Source organism: Homo sapiens, chromosome 15 (genome assembly GCF_000001405.40).
Source record: "Homo sapiens chromosome 15, GRCh38.p14 Primary Assembly".
NCBI lineage: Eukaryota > Metazoa > Chordata > Mammalia > Primates > Hominidae > Homo > Homo sapiens.
The window spans coordinates 67,623,605-67,650,155 of record NC_000015.10 but is presented as its reverse complement, the minus strand read 5'-3'; the positions used below and the strand labels follow the sequence as shown (position 1 = coordinate 67,650,155).

General features: G+C 39.4%; 1 protein-coding gene and 1 pseudogene across 8 annotated transcripts in view; both read right to left on the bottom strand.

Annotated features, from left to right (window-relative positions):
• Window positions 1–26,551, bottom strand: part of MAP2K5 (mitogen-activated protein kinase kinase 5) — a 264,412-nt gene that overhangs the window by 156,959 nt on the left and 80,902 nt on the right. For all 8 annotated transcript variants that reach the window (XR_007064474.1, NM_145160.3, NM_002757.4 and 5 more), the window contains exons 9-11: window positions 19,229–19,268; window positions 3,857–3,925; window positions 3,687–3,768 (exon numbers count right to left, since the gene is read on the bottom strand). Coding sequence is in view for 7 of the 8 variants with exons in the window: in NM_145160.3 (NP_660143.1) it covers window positions 3,687–3,768; window positions 3,857–3,925; window positions 19,229–19,268 (191 nt within the window). In the remaining variant the exon portion in view is untranslated. The remainder of the gene's footprint in view (window positions 1–3,686; window positions 3,769–3,856; window positions 3,926–19,228; window positions 19,269–26,551) is intronic.
• On the bottom strand, window positions 20,687–22,375 carry HNRNPA1P5 (heterogeneous nuclear ribonucleoprotein A1 pseudogene 5; annotated as a pseudogene).

Sequence of the window (26,551 nt, the reverse complement as noted above, 5' to 3'; positions counted from 1 at the left end):
AATCAATTACAGTTCTATACACTGGCAATGAACAATCCAAAAATGAAATTAAGAAAAACAGCATTAAAAAAACTTAGAAGCAAATTTAACAAATAGTTACCACTTATACCCTAAAAATTATTTTTAAATCATTGAAAAACAATTAAAGAAGACCTAAGTAAGTTGAAAGACATCTGTGTTCACGGAGTGGAAGATTAAATAATGTTAAGACAGCAATATTCCCCAAGTTGATCTAAAAATTCAATTCAATTCTTATCAAAATCCCAGCTGGATTTTTTTGGAGAAATTGCCAAGCTGATTCTAAAATTCAAATGAAAATGCTAGGTATTCAAAATGGCCAAAACAATCTTGAAAAGAACAAAGTTGGAGCACTTACACTTCTCGATTTGAAACTTAAAAACTATAATAATCCAGAGTTTTCAAGTACAAGTAATCAAATATGGTGTGGTACTGGTACAAAGATAGACAACTAGATCAATGCGAGATGTATACGCATTGATCTGAAAGTACAGAAATATATGTTATGGTCAATTTTCAACAAGTATAACAAGAAAATTCAATGGGAAAAACAGTCTTTAACAAACGGTACTGGAACAAATGTATATCTACATGCAAACGAATAAATTTGGACCCCTATCTCATACCATATATAAAAATTAACTCAAAAATAAATCAAAGGCTTAAATATAAAAGCTAAAACAATAAAACTTGAGGCTGAGGTGGGAGGATCACTTGAGCCCAGGAGTTCAAAACTAGCCTGGGCAACATAATGAGACCGCAGCTCAAAAAAAGGAAAAGAAAAGAAAAAAGAAAGTGAAAAGATAAACAATAAGTGAAAATATTTGGAAATCCCATATCTGATAAGAGCCAAGTATTAGAATACATAAAGAATTCTCACAACTCAACAATAAAAGCCCAATAACTCATTTAAAAAATAGACAAAGGATTTGAAAACATATTTCTCAAAAGAAGGTATACAAATGGCCAATAAGCACATGAAAAGATGCTCAACATCATTAGTCATTAGAGAAACCTAAATCAAAACCAAAATGGGATACCATGTCACACTACAAGCCCACAATTTTAAAAAGACACAAAATGACAAGTATTGGCAAAAATATGAAGAAAATGGAACCTTATACAGTGCTGGTATGAATGCAAAGTGGTGTAAAACAGATTGGAAAAGTTTGGTAGTTTATTAAAAAGTTAAACATAAAGCTACCATATGACCTAGCAACTTTACTCCTAGGTATATACCCAAAAGAACTGAAAACACTGACCGGGTGCAGTGGCTCACACCTGTAATCCCAGCACCTCGGGAGGCCAAGGCGGGGAGATCACGAGGTCAGGAGATCGAGACCATCCTAACACAGTGAAACTCTGTCTCTACTGAAAATACAAAACTTAGCTGGGCATGGTGGCACGCGCCTGTAGTCCCAGCTACTCGGGAGGCTGAGGCAGGAGAATCGCTTGAACCCAGGAGGTGGAGGTTGCAGTGGAGGTTGCAGTGAGCCGAGATCACCCCACTGCACTCCAGCCTAGGCGACAGAGCGAGACTCTGTTTCAAAAAAAAAAAAAGAACTGAAAACGTATGTCCACACAAAAACTTGTACACAAATATATAGAGTAGCATTATTCATAATTATGCATAAAGTAGAACTATCCCAAATGTCCATCAACTAATGAAAGAATAAACAAAATGTAGTATAGCCATACAACGAAATGTTATTCAGCAATAAAAAGGAATGAAGTTCTCATATATGCAATAGTATGGATGAACACTGAAAACATTATACTAAGTAAAGGAAGCCAGACACAAAGGCCATATATTATCAGATTCCATTTATATGGAATGTCCAGAATAGGTAAATCCATAGAGACAGAAGATAAATCAGTGGTTGCCAAGGACTTGAGGAAAGAGAAAGTAGAGAGTGAGTACTAATAGGTAGGAAGTCTCTTTCTGGGGGTGGTAAAAAGTGTTTTGGAATTATACAGTGGTGATGACTACACAACCTTGTGAGTATATCAAAAACCATGGAATTGTACACTTTTAAAGGGTGAATTTTATGGTATCTGAGTTATATTTCAATAAAAAATTTTAATTTATTTGTTTTTTGATACAGGGTCTCACTCTGTTGCCTAGACTGGAGTGCAGTGGCACGATCACAGCTCACTACAGGCTTAATCTCCTGGGCTCAAGCAATCCTCCCACCTCAGCCCCCAGAGTAACTGAGACTACAGGCCCGTACCACCATGCTTAGCTAATTTTCCTTTTTTTATTTTTTTTAAGACAGAGTCTCACTTTGTCACCCAGGGTGGAGTGCAGTGGCGCGATCTTGGTTCACTGCAACCTCCACCTCCCAGGTTCAAGCAATTCTCAGTCTCAGCCTCCCAAGTAGCTGAGACTACAGGTATGCGCTACCACACCTGGCTAATTTTTGTATTTTCTATAGAGACGGGTTTTCGCCATGTTGGTTAGGCTGGTCTCAAACTCCGCTTGCCTCGGCCTCCCAAAGTGCTAGGATTACAGGAGTAAGCCACCGTGCCCGGCCATATTTTTAAAAATTTTTTTGTAAAGATGAGATCTCACTATATTGCTTATGCTGGTCTCAAACTCCTGGGCTCAAGCAATCTTCCCACCTTAGTCTCCCAAAGTGCTGGGATTACATGCGTGAACCACCGTGCCCTGTTTCAACAAAAATGTTTGAGTAGAACTGAAAAATTGAAGACTTCAAAGAAAGAATGATAAAAGTTACAACACAGTAACATGTACTGGCTCAATGAATCCACTTTTTCTGGTCAGTCTCCACAGTTACCATACTTACCTATATGGCTGTAAGATTTTTAATTTTTGACATTCTACTATAACTAATTTAGAGCATGTTGTACACCTTATGACAGTATCAAGGTACCAATGTTGGCTCATTAAAGTTTTGCAGGGCACAAACTAATTGCTTTAGTAATGTACTGAGAATCTCCACAAGGAACTAACAATATTTTCTTAAGTTGTGTTTTAATGGACTAGACTATGGAAAACTGAATATGTAAAATTTAAAGACTGCTTAGATTTAAAATTGGTAAATAATAATAATGATGACATCATTTCACTGATATGTCCCTAGAAATCTGTATTTTGCCGTAATATTCAGGTCAAGAAAGAACTACCAAAATAGAAATGAATAAAAAAATAGAGAGGGAAGGAAAGGGCTAAAGTCCAAAGAAAATTAAACACATCTTGGCTAAACAGCTGTGTTGAAAAACAATTTCTTATCTTGCAATTAAGAACCGATTTCTTTCTGAAAGACACAGGACATTGGGTTAATAGATTTCTTTAAAAGAAAATCTGTTTTGGCTATTGAAACATTAAAAGAACAGAACATCTGTTTTGCAAGTAAAGACAGATTGTGCAAAAGAATCAAATATCAAACCACCAATTAGACTAGCATTTAATCTGTTCTATTTAAATTTTCAATAAAAGTGAAGTTCAATTCTTAAAATTACAGTTCGGCTATAAATATTTAACCCCAGGAACCCCTAACACTGAAATAATCTTAGAGTATAAATGAGGTAATTATTAGCATATTTTATTATCTTTAATTCTATTTGATATCTATATCAAAACCAGGTTTTAAAGCACTATATACTCTAAAAATCATTTTAAAAGTATTATAAAAGGGAAAACTCACCATCCATGAATTCTGTACATATTGAAATCCTGTTTTCTACAAAAAATGCTCCATAAAATCCAATGATATATGATGAATCGCACTGTAACAAAAATAAGACAAAAGTAGTTATAAACCTGCAAGTCAATACCATAGGCATGCTTTACAAATAAAAATTATGAAAAAATTACCTTATAAAGAATTTCCAATTCAGACATAATTTGCTTCTGAAGTTCCAGTGTAATATCTAGTAGTATGACCTAAATATAGAAAGGTATTAATATTTTTTAATCTTCTAATTATATTAGTTATAATCACTATGAAATATAAGAACTAAAAACATGGTAGTTCCTTTATTCTTCCCCACCTCCTTCTTCTTACCACTATAATTCCCAGTAATACAAGCTGTATCTGCATCTGTCTAACCTTTTGTCCTTCTATACTGGGGGAGGTGGTACAGAAGTGATTGATGGGACCAAAGAAAAAAGCCAGGTCTCAAAGGTCAATAGTAATGGCTTTAAAAGTCAGTTAAGTTATAACACTCTTAATTTATGCACTCTATTTTAGCCACATTGGCTATTTTCAAAAGAGGAGCATAGGAATGACCCTCAAACCAATATAAAAGAATTATGTTGGCTACGTGCAGTGGCACACACCTGTAATCCCAGCACTCTGGAAGGGAGGCTGAGGTGGAAGGGTACCTGAAGGCCAGGGGTATATGGCCAGTCTAAGCACCATAGCGAGAACCCATCTCTACAAAAAAAAAAAAAAATTACCTGTGTGTAGTATGATCGGGTGGTCCCAATCTACTTGGGAGGCTGAGGTGGGAGGATCACTTGAGCTCAGGAATTTGAGGCTGAAGTGAGCCATGACTGCACCTCTGCACTCCCACCTGGGTGAAAGAGAGAAATCCTGTCTCTTAAAAAAAAGAACTATCTTGTGGTTTGTGATCAGACACTAGGCAATAAGCAGAGAGGATGATGAATAAAAATGACATTTTATTTATTTATTTAGAGACACAGTCTCATGCTGTCACCCAGGCTGGAGTGCAGTGGGGCGATCTTGGTTCACTGCAATCTCTGCCTCCCAGACTTAAACAAACCTCCCACCTCAGCCACCCAAGTAGCTGGGACCACAGGTGTGCCACCATACCCAGCTAATTTTTTGCATTTTTGGTAGAGATGGGGGTTTCACTATGTTGCTCAGGCTGGTCTCGAACTCCTGAGCTCAAGCAATCTGCCCACCTCAGCCTCCCAAAGCACTGGGATTACAGGCATGAGCCATCACAACTGGCCAAAAAATAACTTTTTTCTTTTCTTGAGACAGAGTCTTGCTCTGTTACCCAGGCTGGAGTGCAGTGGCATGATCTCGGCTTACTGCAACCTCTGTCTCCTGGGTTCAAGCAACCTCTGTCTCATGGGCTCAAGCGATTCTCGTGTCTCAGCCTCCTGAGTAGCTGGGATTACAGGTGTCTGCCACCACACCTGGCTAATTTTTGTATTTTTAGTAGAGATGGGGTTTCACCATGTTGGCCAGGCTGGTCTTGAACTCCTGACCTCAATGATCCGCTCACCTCAGCCTCCCAAAGTTCTGGGATTACAAGCGTAAGCCACCATGCCCAGCCAAAAATAACATTTTAAGTGGGGTTTTTAGTTATGAGAGAAATAAGGAATTTTAAAAATATATCATCTTTTTTTTTTCCAGTCAGGTAATGTTCTTTGCTAATCCTGTTACAGAAAGTTAAAGCTTGAAGAAATCTTATTTCATTAACTCCCTTCTTTTGAGTGAGGAGGAAACCACGTTTCCCTCCTGGGAGCCACAGAGCCTGGGAATGGTAGGACCCCCTCCTCTGGACTCAGTCTCATGGGCTTTTCAGTACTTTATGGTTTATTTAAAATATCAATCACTGAGTGATATTACCCACAGTGATTTATAACCCATAAATATAAAATATTTATAAACTTATCTAGAATAAATTCTAGTTTATTTCAAACACATATTTTTTTAAGAAAGAAGACCATACTGTTCAAATTCTACTAAGCATGTCAGTGAAACTAATTCAAGAGTAATTGTTTTATTTATTTATTTATTTATTTAGAGATGGAGTCCTGCCCTGTCACCCAGGCTGGAGTGTAGTGGCGCGATCTTGGCTCACTGCAACCTCCGCCTCCCGGGTTCAAGCCATTCTCCTGCCTCAGCCTCCCAAGTAGCTGGGATTACAGGCACCTGCCACCACACCCGGTTGATTTTTCTATTTTTAGCGCAGACAGGGTTTCACCATGTTGGCCAGGCTGGTCTCGAATTCCTGACCTCAGGTGATCCACCTGCCTCAGCCTCCCAAAGTGCTGGGATTACAGGCGTGAGCCACCGTGCCCAGCTTGTTTTTTACTTTTAAAAGGCAGTGATGAGAATAGAATAGGTGGAAAACAATTTTTATGATTTGTGGCAGAGTTTCTGGCTCTAGACATTTCTAGATAAAAACTTAACATTCAGAATTACTATGATAGTGTAGTTATGTAGCATTCAACTTTGAATTACATTTTGTATTACAACTGAAGAATATATATACAATCATACTGAAGAAAAAAGCATAAGTTATGCATTATAAACTGCTAATAGAGCAAGGAAAGAAAAGGACAATTCTAAAGTACATTTTATAGTCCTGACATTGGCCAGGCGTTGATTTGGGGAAGCGGAAGGTGGGGAAAAAAAAGGCATAGGTGGTTTCTATCAAGAGTTTGCAGCTGGGCGCGGTGGCTCACGCCTGTAATCCCAGCACTTTGGGAGGAGGCTGAGGCGGGCAGATCACGAGGTCAGGAGATCGAGACCATCCTGGCTAACACGGTGAAACCCCATCTCTACTAAAAATACAAAAAATTAGCCAGGTGTGGTGGCGGGCACCTGTAGTCCCAGCTACTTGGGAGGCTAAGGCAGAAGAATGGCGTGAACCCAGGAGGCGGAGCTTCCAGTGAGCTGAGATCACGCCACTGCACACCAGTCTGGGCAACAGAGCGAGACTCTGTCTCAAAAAAAATAAAAGAGTTTGCTTTGGGGTTATTTATAAGATCTCAGTAAACTAGACTGTAAGTGTAATACAAAACTGCCAAGAAACATTTAAACACTTCTCCTGATCAATAGTCACTTGCCAACAATATTCACTTACATTTTTGTTTTTGTGTAAAACTTACCAACAAAATTAATTCATCTAGCATCAGTTCAATCCTATAGCATAAAATACTACAGCTATTCCTACTATGATGACAAGTACCAGGAATCTCTCACTCTAAAAAAGTCTGATAAAAGGAATGAAGTTATTATTAACCTTAAATCAATGGTTCTCAACCCTGGCCTCATATCGTAATACCTAGGGCACTTGAAAAAAATCCCAAGGTGCAGGCTTTACCCCAAAACAATGGAATGAGAATCCCTTGGGTTGGGCCCACATCTTTGTTATTTTGTAAAGCTCCCCAGGTAATTCCTAACCCAAAGTAAGGTTGAGAATCACTTATTTAAGGTTTCAAAAGCCATTTATTCAGTGCTAAGATATATGACTATTAAGATATATTGCATCTCCAGGCCACCAACAACCCAGAAATGACATGATTCCACATTGCTAGCCACCCTCCTGGAATTAACCCCAAACTACTGGCTGTGAATATATCATTCCCTTGATCAAGAACCTTAATGTGTTCCCATCGCCTACAATAAAGTTAAAACTCTAGCATGACATTCAAGGAATTCTTCCACAATATAGACAACTTATTCTAACTCCTCTTCCCACTACTCCCACCACAAACCCACCCTTCATGTGAAATCAGATGACATTTCCTGGTGTACACACATATCCTGTGCTTTCCCTACTTACAGCCTTTGCTCCTGCTGTTTCCTGTACTTGGGGTGTGCTTCCTCTCTCTTCTCCAGGCACTGATTGAAAAAACCTGTTCTATCTTTTAGACCCAGCTTGAATGCCACCATTGTCTCCATGAAGCTCACCTCAAAGTCCTCCATCAAAATTCATCTCTAGCTCTGGCCCTCAATATGTACATTCTGCCTTGAGCATGCATCCCTCATCTCCTAAAAACAGAAGCCTCAAGATTAGAGTGGCTATGCGCCTCTCAAGGGCAAGGGCTGAGTCTTGTACATTTTTCTATCCCCCCCAGCACTCCACACAGGGTCTAACTCACAGTAGTGCCTAGTAAGTGATGTAGGATTTAACTCAAGTCTTTACAACTATAATCCTCTTTATAAGAAACTGTTTCTAGACAGAAGAAATAGATTGCTTGATTTTAAACTGAATTTAAAACTAAAAATGTACACCACCAAACAAATAAAAATGCCACACTGACCTAAAATGTAGTAAGGAATACTGTATTTGTGGAGCTAATCTGCTGTACTCTAATTCGTTTTGATCATTGTTGGTATTTGCTTTAGTCTAGAATAGAGGAGATTCCAAAATGATGGAAAAAACAAATAAAGTAATTTCTGAGAACTTGAGAGGGAAAGTAGAACCCACCTTAAAATAACTCTATTCAAATGCTCTCTATTTTCTGGGAGACTTGGCACTCTGGGTGGAAGGTTAATTCTCCTTCCCCTGTGTATTCTTGTGAGTGAGCTTTAAAACTGCTAAAAATAAACAAATCCAATTCCTTATTTGAAGGCAATGGCAAAAAGCATGGCAAAGACTAATTTTCTTTTTGGAGTCCAAGGAAAGTACGGACTCCCTGATTCTTCATTATTTTTTTCTCCTTAGGAAGTGCTAAATGTTTCAAACTGGAAAGAATTTGAATATGAAGCATTCCATGGAGAAAGGGTTAAGTGAGAAACTGAAATACCTTGGTGCATTTCCACTGCTCTCCACTACACCTCCAGGACAAATAAGGATGAGTTGTCAAGTTAAATATAAGCAGTCAAGTGACTGAATTATAATTTACTCTGTGCTCAATTTAAATTAGTGTGAGGCTATTAAAATATACAGTATAAATACGGCAATTCATCACAAGCTGTCATGGATGACTTCGTTTATTTGCTGGAGTGGCACACACTTCACTAAAGGGAAAGAGAGCAAAATCACAGGTCAAATTAAGCTGCTATTCTGTTTTAATTCACTTATTTAATCTATGGCGACATAATTGTCTTTTACAGTATGTACAACTCAGAAAGGAAATTTGGGAGGATTATAGTCAGTATACAAATGATTAATCAAATGGTCCATTTAAATGCTAGTTTAAAAGCAGCAGAAACCCAAAGCAGTCAAAGAATGATAATTGGCACATGCAATATACAATGCTAAGAAATTTCCTGTTAGATGGATTTTTCCCACTTAGAAAACAAACAATAGTGGGAAATCTATTAAATCCTCCAAGCATTACTACTTGAAAGATTTTATAGAATACATTAATGGTATAAAAAGGTTCTGTTTACAAGATGGCTAACAGTATTTTTATTTGTTTTCTGCTCTACTTATCTGCAATTGTCTTGACTACCTGCACCAAACAAACAGACAAAAAGGTAGAAACACGTTTCATGAATTACACATGGTCATTATGAAATAGTTATCTTTAAAATGTGATTAGCATCATTTTCAAAATGTTCTCTTTGAGGCAGAACATTTTCTAAATTCAATAGTATAAAATAGAAATTCATGGTACATTATTCTTTCCAAAATTCAACTTCTTTTAAAAATATCTTGTAATATATTCCTACCTCAGAAGTCTAAAAAGGGAAACATTTACAATATGCTTTTTTGTCTAAAAAATAAGAACATTTAGAAGCATAACATGAGAAACATTTTGAGTAGGAAAAGCAACAGATTTTCAAGGACTCATCTAATTGTGCCCATAGACATTCAAAGTGTGGGTCCAACTGACCACTTTGCTTGGAAAATTAAATTTCCCTCATCATTCCATGCAGGCGTCAGACCCTGCAGGTGATTCAGTTTGGACAAGGACTGTGATTTGCTGCTCTTCACAATCCTCTGTGACATCAGGCAGCCCCGTTTCACAGCTGAGGTCACTGGGAGGTTCAAGTGACATGCTTGAAGTCACACAAAAGTCAGGAGAGGGTCAGGAAAAGATCAAATACGCTTCTAACTCTTAACCTTCCATTTCACCCTTTAATATAAAAAAAGCTAAGAAATATTCTGGGTGAGAGCAATGGTCCATATAAAGAACGCTATGAGATATTTTGTATGTGAGCTGAACCTGCTTTCAAGATGTTACTTTAAAAGATGAATGAACTAAAGAACAAACAGAAGAACAAAAATTTATTCACTCAGTCACTCAACAAATTATGTATTGAACACTTACTCGTTATGTGTAATGCTTTGTACTATACCCTATATGCAAGGATCTGCAGGAATCACGGAGTAAGGCAAGAAGATAAATAAGATCTGTTCCCCACTTACAGAGTTTTCAATATAATATGGGAAATGTACAGGTATACTAACAGCAAAATACAAGGCAGTTGGTGATAACACCCTTAAAAGACATATACAGGGAATTCTAGAGAGGTTCAAAGAAGAAAATGAGTGAGTGAGAGATAGACCATATGTGACAGGGCTTATCCAGAAAAGTTCAATGAAGGAGCAGGCTTTTCAGCTGATCCTTGAAAGGTGTTAAAGATTTTGATAGGTAGAGATAACGGGTGAAAGCATTCTAATTAGAGAGGAATACGTGAATCAAAGTGTTGAAGTGAGAAAGTGCCTGAGTTCAGATAAGGCAACGAGTTCAACTTAAAAGACACACAGGATTCAAACATGTAAGATAATGCTATAAAAGCAGACTGACGACATGTCGTGGAGGATCTTGAATTCCATCCTCTAAAGTCTTTAGTTTATCTGGGAAGTGACGTGAAGCCTCTGAAGACTTTTGAGAGGGAAATAAATGTGACCAGGATGACCCTTGGCAAGCCAAATCTGAGAGCAGTGAGCAGCGCCGGCAGGGGGGTCACCGGCACTTAGAACAAGACTACCTATGTTTAAATCCTGGCTCCACTACTTATCAGTTGTGGGACCTTGGGCAAGTTATTTAACTTCTCTGTGCCTCAGCTTTTGTAAAACAGGAATCAGTAAGAGTTACAAAATGTTGTGAGCATTAATTTAAAAAATGCATGCAAAATGCTTAGCATTGTATAAATCATCAATAAATGGTAGCTTCTATTTACTGAGAACAATTCAAAAGCTGGTATACATGTCTGACAAGAAAGAAGCCAAGCATCTGGATTAGAGTGGTGTAAGGAAAAGAAAGGGATATTAGAACTCTGTCAGATGCATAGTTCGCAAAATTTTTCTCCCATTCTGTAGGCTGTCTGTTCACCCTGTTGATAATTTCCTTTGCTGTGCAGCTCTTTAGTTTAATTAGATCCCATTTGTCAATTTTTGCTTTTGTTGCAATCGCTTTTGGTGTCTTCATCATGAAATCTTTATCCCACTCCTATGTCCAGAATGGTATTTCCTAGGTTGCCTTCCAGGGTTTTTGTACTTTGGGTTTTACATTTAAGTCTTTAATTTTGAGTTAATTTTTGCAGTAAAGGGGTATAAGGAAGGGGTCTATACAAATTTGTAAGAAAAAGACAACCCCATTAAAAAGTGGGCAAAGGACACGAACAGACACTTCTCAAAAGAAGATATACACGAGGCCAACAATCCTATGGAAAAACGCTCAACATCACTGATCATTTGAGAAACGTAAATCAAAACCACAATGAGATACCATCTCACATCAGTCAGAATGGCTATTACTAAAAAGTCAAAAAATAACAGATGCTGGCAAGGTTGTGGAGAAAAAGGAATGCTTATATACTGTTGGAAGGAGTGTAAATTAGTTCAACCATTGTGGAAGACAGTGCAGTGATTCCTCAAAGTCCTAAAAACAGAAATACCATTTGACCCAGCAATCCCATTACTGGGTATATACCCAAATGAATATAAAGCATTCTATTATAAAGACACACGCATGCAAATGGTCATTGCAGCACTATTCGCAATAGCAAAGACATGGAATCAACCTAAATGCCCATCACTGGTAGACTGGATAAAGAAAATGTGGTACATACACACCATGGAATACTATGCAGTCATAAAAAACAATGAGATCATGTCCTCTGCAGGAACATGGATGGAGCTGGAGGTCATCATCTTTAGCAAACTAACACAAGAACAGGAAACCGAATACCACATGTTCTCACTTATAAGTGGGAGCTAACTTATGAGAACACATGGACACATAGAGGGAAACACCACACACTGTGGCCTATCAGAAGGTGGAGGGTGAAGTGGGGAGATGATCAGGAAAAATAACTAATAGGTACTAGGCTTAATACCTGGGTGACAAAATAATCTGTACAACAAACCCCCATGGCACAAGTATACTTATATAACAAACCTGCACATGTACCCCTTAAAAGTTAAATTAAAAAAGTTAAATTAAAAGTTAAAAAAATTAACTTTTTTAATTTTTAAAAAATTAAAAGTAAAAAAAAGTTAAAAAAAGTTAAATTAAAAGTTAAAAAAGTTAAAAGTTAAATTAAAAAAAAGAAAGGAAGAGGTACTAAAACACACATACACACACACTCACACACACATCAACAGGCTTCCAGACATTGGACATTAGCCAGAATGGGGCAGTGATCCCTGAAAGATGGAAAACAAATGAGATGAGCCCTATGATTGCCCAGCTTGCTGACCAGAGAGTTCCCAGGCCTCAGTGCAGGGAGGGGAAACCAGGCAGAGATAAGCCATCTCCCTAAGATGAGAAGACAAAACTGAGAGTCTGAGGAGGCCAAGGAAGCTAGAGAAGCAGAGGGCAGAGAGCTGGCAGAGGACCTGAGGGAGAGAGCTCCAGAGGTCTGCCGAGGGGGTCCTGGAGTCTTCAGCTGAGTAATGAATGATCTGTACATAGATGTCAGGAGATCACCTGAGGCCAGGGAGAGAACCACTAGAAAGGCTCAGAAGAAACGATCTCCAGATTAATACTGGGCAAGAAAAGTTTGTATTCCCACCAGTCAGTGTGGAAAAACCTTGCAATTTGCAAGGCACCAGGTAGAGTACTCAGAAGAGTACTACCTCTGCTGCACGGGGAAAATTAGTTCTAGACTAACCACTGGGCTGGTACTGTCTAATAAAACTTAAAAGCAAGCCTTGAAAGAATCAAATTATTCAAAAGTAACTAAATACCATCTCTGTATTAGTCAGGGTTCTCTAGAGGGACAGAACTAATAGGATAGATGTATATATGAAGGGGAATTTATTAAGGAGTATTGACTCACAGGATGACAAGGTGAAGTCCCACAATAGGCCATCTGCAAGCTGAGGAGCAAGGAAGCCAGTCCAAGTCTGAAAACCTCAAAAGTAGGGAAGCCAACAGTGCAGCCTTCAGTCTGTAGCTGAAGGCCTGAAAGCCCCCGGCAAATCACTGGTGTAGGTCCAAGAGTCCAAAAGCTGAAGAACTTGGAGTCTGATGTTCAAGGTCAGGAAGCATCCAGCATGGAAGAAAGATGAAGGCGGGAAGACTCAGCAAGTCAAGTCCTTCCAACTTCTGCCTGCTTTTATCCTAGCCACACTGGCAGCTGATTAGATGGTGCCCACCCAGATTGCAGGTGGGTCTGCCTCTCCCAGCCCACTGACTCAAATGTTAATCTCTTACGTTAACATTAACTCAAATGTTAATCTCTCTGAATATTAACACCTTCACAGACACACCCCGAAACAATACTTTGCATCCTTCAACCCAATCGAGTTAACACTCAATATTACCCACCACAATCTCAGAATAAAGTTCAAAAATATTTATAGCAGAGCAAAAATAGCACCCATGCCACATGTCTGGTATCCAATAAAAAATTATAAGGCATAGCTGCTCTGCTCAAGCAGAGTAGCTATTCTCTTATTCCTTTACTTTCTTAATAAACTTGCTTTTCACTTAAAAAAAATTATAAGATATGAAAAAAAAGTGAAAAATACAACCCAAAGTGAGGAGAAGAGGAATCAGTCAAAACTGATCCAGATATGACACATATGATGGAATAAATAGATAAGGCCACTAATTCAGTTATTATAACTATATTTCATACTTTTTTTTTTTTTTTGAGACGGAGTCTTATTCTGTTGCCCAGGCTGGAGTGCAGTGGCGCAATCTTGGCTCACTGCAAGCTCCACTTCCCAGGTTCACGCCATTCTCCTGCTTCAGCCTCCTGAGTAGCTGGGACTACAAGCGCCCGACACCACGGCCAGCTAATTTTTTGTATTTTTAGTAGAAATGGGGTTTCACCGTGTTAGGATGGTCTCGATCTCCTGACCTCATGATCCGCCCACCTCAGCCTTTCAAAGTGCTGGGATTACAGGCATGAGCCACGGCGCCCGGTCATTTCATACTTTCAAGAAAGCAGAGGAGGCCAGGTGCCCTGGCTCACACCTGTAATCCCAGCACTTTGATAGGTGGAGGCGGGTGGATTGCTTGAGCCCATGAATTCAAGACAAGCCTGGACAATGTGGCAAAACCCCATCTTTATTTATAAAAACAAAAAAAAAGAAAGCAGAGGAAGTTTTAAACATGTTAAGTAGAGACATTAAAGATGTAAACACCAGCTCAATACCAGTGATAAAGAAAAAGTCTTGAAAGCAGCCAGAATGAAGCCAATTCTAATATACAGAGGAACAAAGATTTAAAATGACAGTAAACTTCTCACTGGAAAGAAAGAAAACAGTGAAACAAAATCTTTAAAAAACTGAAAGAAAACAGCAGCCAACCTAGAATTCTACATTTAGCAAAAATTAAAATGCCTCCCAAAAATGAAAGTGAAATATACATTTTTAGACATACAAAAGCTGAAAGAATACCAAAAGACCCACACTATATGAAATGTAAAGGAAGAAGTCATTCAGACAGAAGGAAAATACTACTAGATGGAAATCTGAACCACACAAAGGAATGAAGAGCACTGGCATTGGTAAATACAGGAATAAAAATAGAATACTATTTTTCTTACTTTTTAAATGTCTTTAAAAGATAAATATTTCCAGGCCGGGCACGGTGACTCACACCTGTAATCCCTGCACTTTGGGAGGCCGAGGTGGGCAGATCACAAGGTCAGGAGTTCGAGACCATCCTGCCTAACATGGTGAAACCCCATCTCTACTAAAAGTAGAAAAAAATTAGCCGGGCGTGGTGGCAGGCGCCTGTAGTCCCAGCTACTCGGGAGGCTGAGGCAGAAGAATGGTGTGAACCCAGGAGGCGGAGCCGAGATCGCACCACTGCACTCCAGCCTAGGCGACAGAGCGAGACTCTGTCTCAAAAAAAAAAAAAAAGATAAATATCTAAAGCAAAAGTAGTGACAATGCATTTTGGGGTTTATCGCATATGATGATGTAAAATGGATGATAATAAAACAAAGGCTGGGATGAGGGAAATGAAAATACACCACTGTAAGATTTGTAGACTATAAAGTGGTACAATACTATTTACATAGGAAGACTATGTTAAGTTATGAATTCTAAAGCAATCACTTAAAAAAGGGGGCATACAGGCAGAACAAATAGAAAACAAAGAGCAAAATGACAGATTTGAATCCAAACATATCAATAATCATATGAAATGTAAATAGTCTCAATACTCTCACTTAAAAAGCAGAGATCATCCAACTGGATTAAAAAATAAGACCCAACTGTATGCTGCCTACATGAAATACATTTCAAAAATAATGACACAATAGGTTAAAAGTAAAAAAAAAAATATCATGCTAACACTTGTCAAAATGAAGCCTAGAATTTAATATCAGACTATAAATTTCAGAGCAAAGAATATGATCACAGACAAAGAAGGTTACTTCATAATGTCAATGAGGCCGATTTATCAAGAGGACATAACAAACATAAATGCACCTAAGAATATATCTTCAAAAAACATTAAGTAAAAAATAACAGAACTGTAGGCCACAATTATTGTTGAGTATTTCAACACCCCTCTTTCAGTAATTGATAGTACTAGATAAAAATCAAATATCTAATAACAAATATCTGAATAACACTATCAGCCAACTTGATCTAATTGACATTATACAATACCCTATACAGTGGATTATACATTCTTTTTTTTTTTTTTTTTTTTTTTTTTTTTTTTTTTTTTTTTTGAGATGAGGTCTTACTCTGTCACCCAGACTAGAATGCAGTGGTGCAATCATGGCTCACTGAAGTCTCAACTTCCTCAGCTCAGCGATCCTCCCACCTTAGCCTCCCAAGTAGCTGGGACTACAGGCACACACCACCATGCCCAGCTAATTTATTTTTTATTTTTTATTTTTTGTAGAGACAGGGTTTTGCCACGTTTCCCAGGCTGGTCTCGTACTCCTGAGCTCAAGTCATCCACCTACCTCAGCCTCCCAAAGTGCTGGGATTACAGGCACAAGCAGGCTATACATTCTTTTCATGTGTACAAGGACTGTTTACCAAAATAGGTCATATTCTGAGCCATAATATAAGTCTCAACAAATTTAAAACAATTTAAGTTATAGGAAGGGTGTTCTGGAACCACAATGGAATTAAATCAGAAATCAGTAATAGAAAGATGGAAAATCTCCAAATATTTGGAAACTAAATAACACACTTCTAAGAATTAAAAATTCTGCCTGTTTTGAAGAAATGGTAAATTTTTCTTAGATTATGACTATTATACAAGTTACATGGTTTTTGCCTAAACTACCAACAAGCTCAGGGCTACACAAATGTTTAATCACAATAATCATATCTGCTCTTAAATCATCCATTCATTCAATTCAGTGTGAGTATCTACTATATTTTATAGAATCTAGAGATACAAAGTGAATACAGTACAGTTCTTGTTGTAAAGCCCAGTTTAATGATCAGGTCTAGTGAACAGTATATTTGTAAATCCCAACTATTTTCATTTACTGACAGTCTCTACTTTCCTAACAGCTATTCTGTAAATATGTCCTTTCTTTAAAATTGCTTTTACTCTTTTCCAGAAAAAGCTGTTGGCCCCTTGCCACACCCAACTAATGCACAATACTTTTAATATTAGTCTATATAAACATAATTCAAAATGTATGAAATTACGAAAAATGTATAATGTACTTTGCAAGGCCAAATAATCATAGATTTCTAGACGATTTATAACAGTGTTCCCCTCTCCTGGAGTAAATAACCTAGAGTTGGCTATCTTTAAATATATCATCAGCAACAATCTAAGACTTCTGACATAAAAGGAACAAAAAAGTAACTCAATGGATGGGAAAATAGTGCTCAAGTTTTAGTGGAAGTTTTCTCTTAGTGAAAAGGGAGCTCAGGAGGTACAGAAAGGTTAAACCAATGCCAAGGTGTACAACAGAGCCACACTCAGTGAGAACCAAGGTGGTACGACTGGGCCGCGCTCGGTGAGCACCAAGGTGGTATGACACAGCTGCATTCAGTGAGCTCAGTGCCTCTGTAAAATGTGGGGGCTGTAACAGGTGATCTCCAAGGTCTCTTCCAGTTCTACAATTCTATGGACCCTAAATGGCTGAACTGTCAAAGAAAATATCTCAAAGGAAGCTCTGTTGTACCCCCTCACAAGCTATTTAACTTATTAAAACTAAACTTGATAATGCCACGTAACACATTCTAGGTGCTGTACTAGATGTGATATGGAAGAAGAACTCTGGATTTCATTAGCAGTCAGAGGATCTGAGCCTTAGTTTTGGTTTCAACTTACTAAAAGGTATAAGCAATTCTAATGTAATTGCTCTGATTCTTAGTTTTCTAGATGAGAAAAAAGATGCAGAAATATATACTATGCAACTGTTAGAGAAAGAGATCAATTTCTCACTGTGGATAGCTAAAAAGGCATATTGGAGATGAACCATGAAAAGATAGATGAAGATCAGAGGGATGAGCAATGTTAGTAAGTTGTATAAAAGCTGCATGGTGTAACAGAGGAGATGAGCTTTGGAGGCAGATGAACATTTCACATCCTGGCCTTACCCCTTCCAACTCTGTGATCTTTGACAATTCAGCTTTCTGAGTTTCAGTCTCCTAATCTAAAGTAGACAGGCTTACTATGTAATTTTAAGGATTAAATATAATAGTTATAAAACATCTAGCATAGCTGGGCGTGGTGGCTCATGCCTATAATCCCAGGACTTCGGGTGGCTGAGACAGGAGGATCGCTTAAGCCCAGGAGTTCATGACCAGCTTGGGAAACATAGTGAAACCCTGTCTCTACAAAAAATAAAGAAAATTAGCAAGGCATGGTGATGCACACCTCTGGTCCAACCACTCAAGGGGCTGAAGTAGGAGGATCTCTTGGACCTGTGAGGTGGAGGCTGTAGTGAGCCTAGATCACGCCACTGCACTCCAGCCTGGATGACAGAGCAAGACCCTGTCTCAATCAAAAAAAAAAAAAAAATCTAGCATAATACTTGGCATATAGTAGTCACTCAAAAAATAAGAACTTTCATTACTAAAGGCCAGGAGACTGGAGATAAAGGGCATGACGGGAAGTAACAGATTGGTAAAGCAGAGTGCATGTTTATAAAGGTAGGTGGGGGCCAATATGTAGAGGGTCTGAACAATTTGTGGGGAAGGTTGGGGGCAAGGCAAGCCTGACCAGTTTGTTAGCTAAGAGCCCAAAATTGGAAATGGGGTTCTGTGGGGTTAGGACTTAATTAGCAAAGGGTTCAGTCAGAAGCGCAATTCAAGACAGAGTCCATTAAGGAAATCTGAGATTTAAGATGATGGGAAGATCAAGCGCCAGCAGTGGCAGAGATTAAATCCAAAGTGGCATGGCAGGACTGGGATGCTGGAGTTTGGCAGAGATGAAGTATGAATTATGAATTGCATGGGAACAAGTGAGGAGCATCCTAGGTAACTGCCTGGAACATCCCTGAGTTGTGTGTAGCCTGACTCTATTGGCAGGTGTTGTGCTTGGGTATTTCAGTATGCCGAGGGAGTCAGAAGCAAAGCAGACATCTTAGGCTTTACGTTGTACATGATTGAGGAAGGCAGTCAGCAAGACACGGTCAGATCTGTGATTTGACTTCTCAAATCTGTGGCAGAGTAAAAGGTGCATAGGAAAAGAAAAGACCGAAAGTACAGTGAGGAAGTTATTTCAAAAGTCCAGGTAGGAGGTAATGTGAGCCCGATCCAAGACCATGGCAATGGGGATGGGAATAGAAAGAAAGTAGCAAATGGATATATTTCAGGGAAAAATTCTAACGGGATACAGCAATTCACAGGATGTGGCATATTTAAAGAAGGAAAAGGAATACATTACCAGTAAGGTTTTGAGCTGCATGACAAGGAAGATGGTGATGCCACTTAGCAGGGGACACAGAAAGAAATTTTCTCTTCTTGGCAAGAAGAATCACAATACACGGAGCTTACAACTGACTATTTTAAGGCATACTTAAAAGATCTTCAGGTGTCTGAATGTCACCAGAGAGCCACAGCTTCCCCTACCTACCATCTAAACCTTAAGCCATTTCATCTCCTCTTTGACAATATCTGTGACTCAAGCTAACAGAGGAAAGGAAAGAGGTGAACATCAAGAATTTCATAAAATGTATCCAGTACTTACCTTTACAGCTAATATTTTCCCACTCGGGACATGATATGCTCTATGGGAAGAAAAAAAAACAAAATCATTTGGGATCACTAAACAACCTACAAAATGGTTAAGGACATAAATGTAAATCCAAACATTTCTGCAGCAGTGGGATACATGGTACTTTCAAAGAACACTAACAACATTAGTAATTTACATTTATATGGAGCTTAATGGTTTACAAAGTGATTTACTATACATTACCTTAAAATAACTATCTGAGGTAATACTGATACATTATTATCCTCCTTTTATAGATGAGAATTCTGAAGCACAGAGAAGTTAAACAGTTTGCCCAATGGCACAAAGTAACTAGCAGCAGAATGAGACCTCAAACCTAGGTCTTTTGGCTCCAGATCCCTTATGACTGTCACTGTGCATGTGGGTTCTCTATAGCTCTATGTTAAGCAGTGTACAGAGCCATTTTGCTTTTTTTTTCCCATTTTTTTTGCTTATTTTTTTAATTACACATGCAGATAAACTATATCATAACAGTTCATCAAAACAAGCTCAAAGTAACAGATATAGTGAAATAACTACAACTTAAATCAATAAATATAAATGTATCCATTTATGAAAAAGAATGAGAATAGGGTTTACAGAAATGAAATACCATTACTATCCATCAAGACCTTTTGTGTTTATCTGATTGAGTGACTGACTGATTCAGACAGGGGCTCTCTCTGACACCTAGGCTGGAACACAGTGGCATAATCACAGATCACTGCAGCCTCAAACTCCTCAGCTCAAGCGATCCTCTCACTTCAGCCTCCTGAGTAGCTAGGACTATAGGCACATGCCACCATGCTACTTTTTACTTTTTTTTGTAGAGACAGGGTCTCTGGATGTTGCTCAGGCTGGCCTGGAACTGCTGGCCTCAAGTGATGCTCCCACCTCAGTCTACGAAAGTGCTAGGATTACAGGAGTGAGCCACCGTACCTTTTATGTTTAAATGAAATGTGGCCTTTACACATATACTGTGGGGACTAGATATTCTGAACATTATTTAGAAGCAATCTGCAACACATTTTTATACAATAAAAATTTCAAAATAAACCACATAACATAAACAAGCATTGTTATTGCAAGCCCATAAAAATATTAATATAAGGAAGTAAGTAAGTTTCGAAGAACTAAAAATCTTGCCCTATAGAGGATTTTATACACTAGCTAAGATCAGACGGCTCTTCCTCTCATCTGGTAAGTGTTAGGATAGGAATGGCATAGGGAAAATGGGGAACAGAAGTCAGTGCCTCAGGAATTCCTCATCTTCACCTGCCCAGTTGTAAAACATATTTAATGAGCCCCTAAACTTCCCCTTTCTTAAAACAAAAATAAAACCAAAATTTACATAATCCACTACTGCCAACATGGAAACATCATTTTCTGCTGTTTAGCAGAAAATTTGGTTGCTCTGACAAATATTTTTTTAAAAAAGACATTTATTCAGCATCATGATCAGACTATTGCATTTAGCAATCAACAGCATGGTGCAAAAAAAAAAATCTACATTAGATCACTTTGTTGGAATGCTTTAAACTTTCCATGGAACAGGAACTAAAATAACCTGTTATACAATTAGACAAATACAGTCCTCAAGTTTTTGCCCATTCACATGAGTATTTGTCTAAAACATGTCTTCTTTGTAGCAGCTAGGCCCTGCCACCACCGTGCTTGGCTGAGTTCACAAATCTGTTGTAACCTGTAGCTTCCCCGTCACTTCTCTAGCTCTCCTCTTTTGCTACGCTTTGTTTCCTGGCAATAATTAAAATCTTCTGCCACTGCCGTAGCTACTGCTGCTACTGGAACCGCCATGGCCACCTTGGTTTCATGGTTTGGCAAAGTATTGGCCTCCACCACCATAGGGGCCAGAGCTTCTGCCTCCAAAGTTTCCTCCCTTCACGGGTCTGAAATTTGAAGACTGATTGTTGAAATTGCCAAAATCATTGTAGCTTCCACCACCTCCAAAATTGCTTCCATTATTACTAAATCCATTATAGCCATCCATCCCCACTGCCGCCATATCCACCATCACCACGGCTGCCATCAAAGCCACCATGACCACTGAAGTTTCGTCCATGACCAAAATTGTCATTCCCACTAAAAACACCTCCACAACCACCACCAAAGTTTCCAGAGCCACTTCGACCTCTTTGGCTGGCTGAAGCATTAGCCATCTCTTGCTTTAACAGGGCTTTCCTAACTTCACCGTTGTGGCCATTCACAGTATGGTTATTTCTGAATGACAGTCTTATCCACAGAGTCATGGTCGTCAAAGGTTATAAAGGCAAAGCCCCTTTTCTTGCCACTGCCTTGGTCAGTCATGATTTCAATCACTTCAATTTTTCCATATTATTCAAAATAATCTCTTAGGTGATATTCCTCAGTGTCTTTTTTTTATTTTTTATTTTTATTTTTTTTTAGATGGAGTCTCGCTCTGTCGCCCAGGCTGGAGAGCAGTGGCACGATCTTGGCTCACCACAGCCACTGCCTCCTGGGTTCAAGCAATGCTCCTGCCTCAGCCTCCCGAGTAGCTGGGATTACAGGTGCCTGCCACCACGACCAGCTAATTTTTGTATTTTTAGTAGAGACGGGGTTTCACCATGTTGGCCAGGCTGGTCTCAAATCCCTGACCTCGTGATCTGCCCACCTCAGCCTCCCAAAGTGTTGGGATTACAGGCATGGGCCACTGCACCCAGCCTTCAGTATCTTCTTTAATGCCACCAACAAATATCTTTTTCACAGTTAAGTGGGCACCGGGTCTTTGAGAATCTCCTCTTGAGACAGCTCTCTTTGTTCCCACAGCTCTTCCGTCCACCTTGCGTGGCCTTGCATTCATGGCTGCATCCACTGCCTCCACAGGGGCATATGTGACAAACCCAAAGCCCCAGGAGCACTTGGTGCTTGGATCTCTCATTACCACAGTCTGTGAGTGTTCCCCATTGCTTAAAATGGCTCCTCAGGCTCTCATCGGTTGTTTCAAAGTTCAGCCCTCCAATGAAGAGCTTCCTCAGCTGTTCAGGCTCTTTAGGAGACTCTGACTTAGACATGACAGCAGGGAGAACAGAGACTTTAATGATGTTTCCTCTGTGGCGTCCACGAGCAGAAAGGACTGACAAAATTTTTTAACAGCTTTATTGAGATATAATTTACATATGATAACATTCACTTGTTTTAAGGGTACATTCTACTTTTTAGTAAATTTACAGAGTTGAACAATCACTGACAAGAGTTTTTTGAAGGTGACTGACTTATAGAAATGATTTAGTTATTAAGAGCATATAGGTATTTGTAATATCGTTTACAAGTAAAATGTTACAAATTCAGGCAAGACTAGGAAACTACATATATAAAGCATATGTATATACTTATCCAAATATATGAGTGTTATAAGAACTTACTCATTTTGCTTTTCCTACTTGAGTGGACAAAGGTCAAGCCAGTCATGGAAGGTAAACTTAACTTTTATTATATCAATTAATTATACAGAAATTCAAGTATATTTCATTTAAAGAAAAAGCAAGATTACAAAAACCGGGTGACAACTGTTTACTTTACCAAAGAATTATTTAACCTTTGAAAGTGTCTAAAGATATTCTCAAATAACAACCTCATTGGTTATTTCTAAATACTACTTATAAAACTTTAATCAGGTTGGGCACAGTGGCTCATTCCTGTAATCTCAGCACTTTGGGAAGCCAACGCAGGAGGATCACTTGAACCCAGGAGATCAAGACCAGCCTGGGCAACATAGGGAGACACTGTCTTTTAAAAAAAATAAAATAATTACCTGGCATCGTGGTGCGTGCCTGTAGTCCTCTATAGTCCCCCTGTAGGGACTACAGGGAGGCTGAGGCAAGAGGGTCGCTTGAGTCCAGGAGGTCAGGCTGCAGTGAGCTATGATCTCACCACTCCACTACAGCCCGGGTGACAGAGCGAGACTCTGTCTCAAAGATATAGAAAATAATAATAAAACTTAATCAATTATTATTTTCTTCAGAGACAGGTCTCATTCTGTCTCCCAGGCTGGAGTGCACTGCTGTGATCTTATTAGTTCATTGTGACCTTGAACTCCCGGGCTCAAGCGATCCTCCCACCTCAGCCTCCCAAACCGCTGGTACTACAGGAGTATACCACCATGCCTGGCTAATTTTTTTTAAGTTTTTAAGAGATGAAGTCTTGCCATGTTGCCCAAGTTGGTCTCAAACTCCAAGCCTCAAGCGATCCTCCCACCTTGACCTCCCAAAGCACTGGGATTACAGGTATGAGCCACTGTGCCAGCAAAATAATTTTTTATACTTTGTACAAAGTGATACACATTTTATAAGTGGAACCCTATCCCCTATATTATGTTTTTTGTTTGTTTGCTTGTTTAAGATGGAGCCTTGCTCTGTCGCCCAGACTAGAGTGCAGTGGCACAATCTCGGCTCACTGCATCCTCCGAAACCCAGGTTCAAGCAATTCTCCTGCCTCAGCCTCCCAAGGAGCTGGGATTACAGGAGCCCACCACCACACCTGGCTAATTTTTTTTTGTATTTTTCATAGAGACAAGGTTTCACCATGTTGGCCAGGCTGGTCTCAAACTTCTGACCTCAAGTGATCTACCAGCCTCGGCCTCCCAAACTGCTGAGACTACTACAGGTGTGAGCCACCACACTTGGCCTGAAATGTGATTTAAAGGAAATTAGTAAGTTTATTCCACGTAAATCCAAGTAACATAATACGTAAGACTTTGTGATATATTATTTTTCCCCCTCCACATCACAGATTCTTCCAATTCCAACTTTTAAAAATATTATATATTCGAATCACTAATCAAGAACTGAAATATAAAGACAAATAATTAAATATATACACAGGATTCAAAAGTTGTAAAAAGATCAGTGTTGTTACTTCGAATAAGCAACACCTGGACGTTTGAGACCAGCAGCAGCGATAAGAAAATGATTAGCAGATAGTCTAATATACATACCATACTGGACAGTTTGGCAACTTAATTAGCTTGTCAAGAAAGCTGATCTCTTTTCTAAAAGAAAGGTGTCCTATTTCCAAGTGAATTAAAAGGAGAGGCTTGATAATTTAATTATGATGCACGCTAATTCATCCGTGGAAGTTTGGGTTCGATTTCGAGGAATAAAGATGCTATGTGGTTTGGTTTACAGTGCAATGACAGTACCAATTTAACATTTAATCATCAAGGAGAACTGGATGACAAAGGCAATGCCAGGCATGAGTCGAGTGTGTCCCTTAACTTTCCAAATGGTATTTACTTAGAGAAAAGGAATTTGTTTACTTTCAACAGATACTACATCTCAATTGTCTTGACCTTCCTCAACACATTAATTGTAAAGTGATTAATGAAGTTTGAATGGAGGCTCTGCTTACACCAAAAGACAACTATACACCTCTGCAATGTTTTAATTAACAGCTAACACTTCAAATTAGTTTGTTGTTGCCACAGTAATTACCTGATTCAATGACTGCATGGAGGAAGCATTTTTATGAGATATTTTTAGTGCTTGGTCCTTGAGTGTTCCATTTTGTTTGTGACCAGCACAGGCCTTCTGGGAACAGTCTCAGCCCTTAAAATTGAGCACACACACATACACTTTACCATGGCAAAAGTTAGTCGCCTGGTGTAAGTTTTTCAAATATTTAAAATAACAAAGAGCCCAGTGCAAGCGAATACTTTCTATCCATACTTTCTTATTTCATTTGTAACAATAGGTTATAGATGACCAGACAAAGAAGTTGGTCTTAACTTGTAATCTTGGTACAGAATCAGATAATTTATTGAGCTAGTAGAAAACAGAGAAAATTATTTAACCTAATCCCCTTCTTTCACAGCAGAAGCACCCAAAAGCCAGGTTAAATAACTTATCCAAGCTCACACAGTCAGTGGCAAAGCCAAGACGAGCCGCGACAGAATATGCATATTTTAGGACCTAAAGGAAATAGATGGTGATGTTTGGCTGGGCACAGTGGCTCGTGCCTGTAATCCCAGCACTTTGGGAGGCCAAGCCAGGTGGATCACCTGAGGTCAGGAGTTCAAGACCAGCCTGGCCAACATAGTGAAACCCCATCTCTACTAAAAATACAAAAAATTAACCAGGCCTGGTGGCGGATGCCTGTAATCCCAGCTACTCGGGAGGCTGAGGCAGGAGAATTGCTTGAACCCAGGAGGCAGACGGTGCAATGAGCTGAGATTGCACCACTGCACTCCAGCCTGGGAAACAAGAGCGAAACTCCGTCAAACACACTCACACACACACACACACACACACACACACACACACACACACACACACACAAAGAGATCGTGATGTTTAATTTTTTTACCTGTATTCTAGGGCAGGGAAACATATAATTCAAAACTTACAAAGGTACTGACCTATTTCAATCAGGCCAAAGACCATTATATCCAAATTGCTCCAGGCAAGGAAGCATTCTGCAATCAGTGCCAATCTATCCTGGGAGGCAGAAGAGCAAATGGGACAGGCTCTGAAGTCACTGCCAGCTCAAATCCCAGCTGTGCCACTTCTTTTTTTTTTTTTTTTTTTTTGAGACGGAGTCTTGCTCTGTCGCCCAGGCTGGAGTGCAGCAGCGCGATCTCGGCTCACTGCCAGCTCCGCTTCCCGGGTTCACACCATTCTCCTGCCTCAGCCTCCCGAGTAGCTAAGACTACAGGTACCCGCCAGCACGCCTGGCTAATATTTTGTATTTTTAGTAGAGACGGGGTTTCACTGTGTTAGCCAGGATGGTCTCGATCTCCTGACCTTGTGATCAGCCCTCCTTGGCCTCCCAAAGTGCTGGGATTACAGGTGTGAGCCACTGCGCCCGGCCTAGCTCTCCCACGTCTTAAACATGTGAACCTGACTGTCAGTAAGCCCCACCAAGTCTCAGTTATCTCTAGTCTGGAATAGGGAAAGCAGTCTCTCCCTTATAGAGTTGTGAGGATCCAATGAGATAAGACTAATGAATTAAATGTTAGGAAGGTAGGAAGTAGCCGGGGGCGGTGGCTCACACCTGTAATCCCAGCACTTTGGGAGGCCCAGGTGGGCGTATCACCTGAGGTTGGGAGTTCGAGACCAGCCTGACCAACATGGAGAAACCCCGTCTCTATTAAAAATACAAAATTAGCCCAGTGTGGTGGTGGGTGCCTGTAATCCCAGCTACTCAGGAGGCTGAGACAGGAGAATCATTTGAACCCAGGAGGTGGAGGTTACGATGAGCCGAGATCACACCATTGCACTCTAGCCTCCTGGACAACAAGAGCAAAACTCCGTCTAAAAAAAA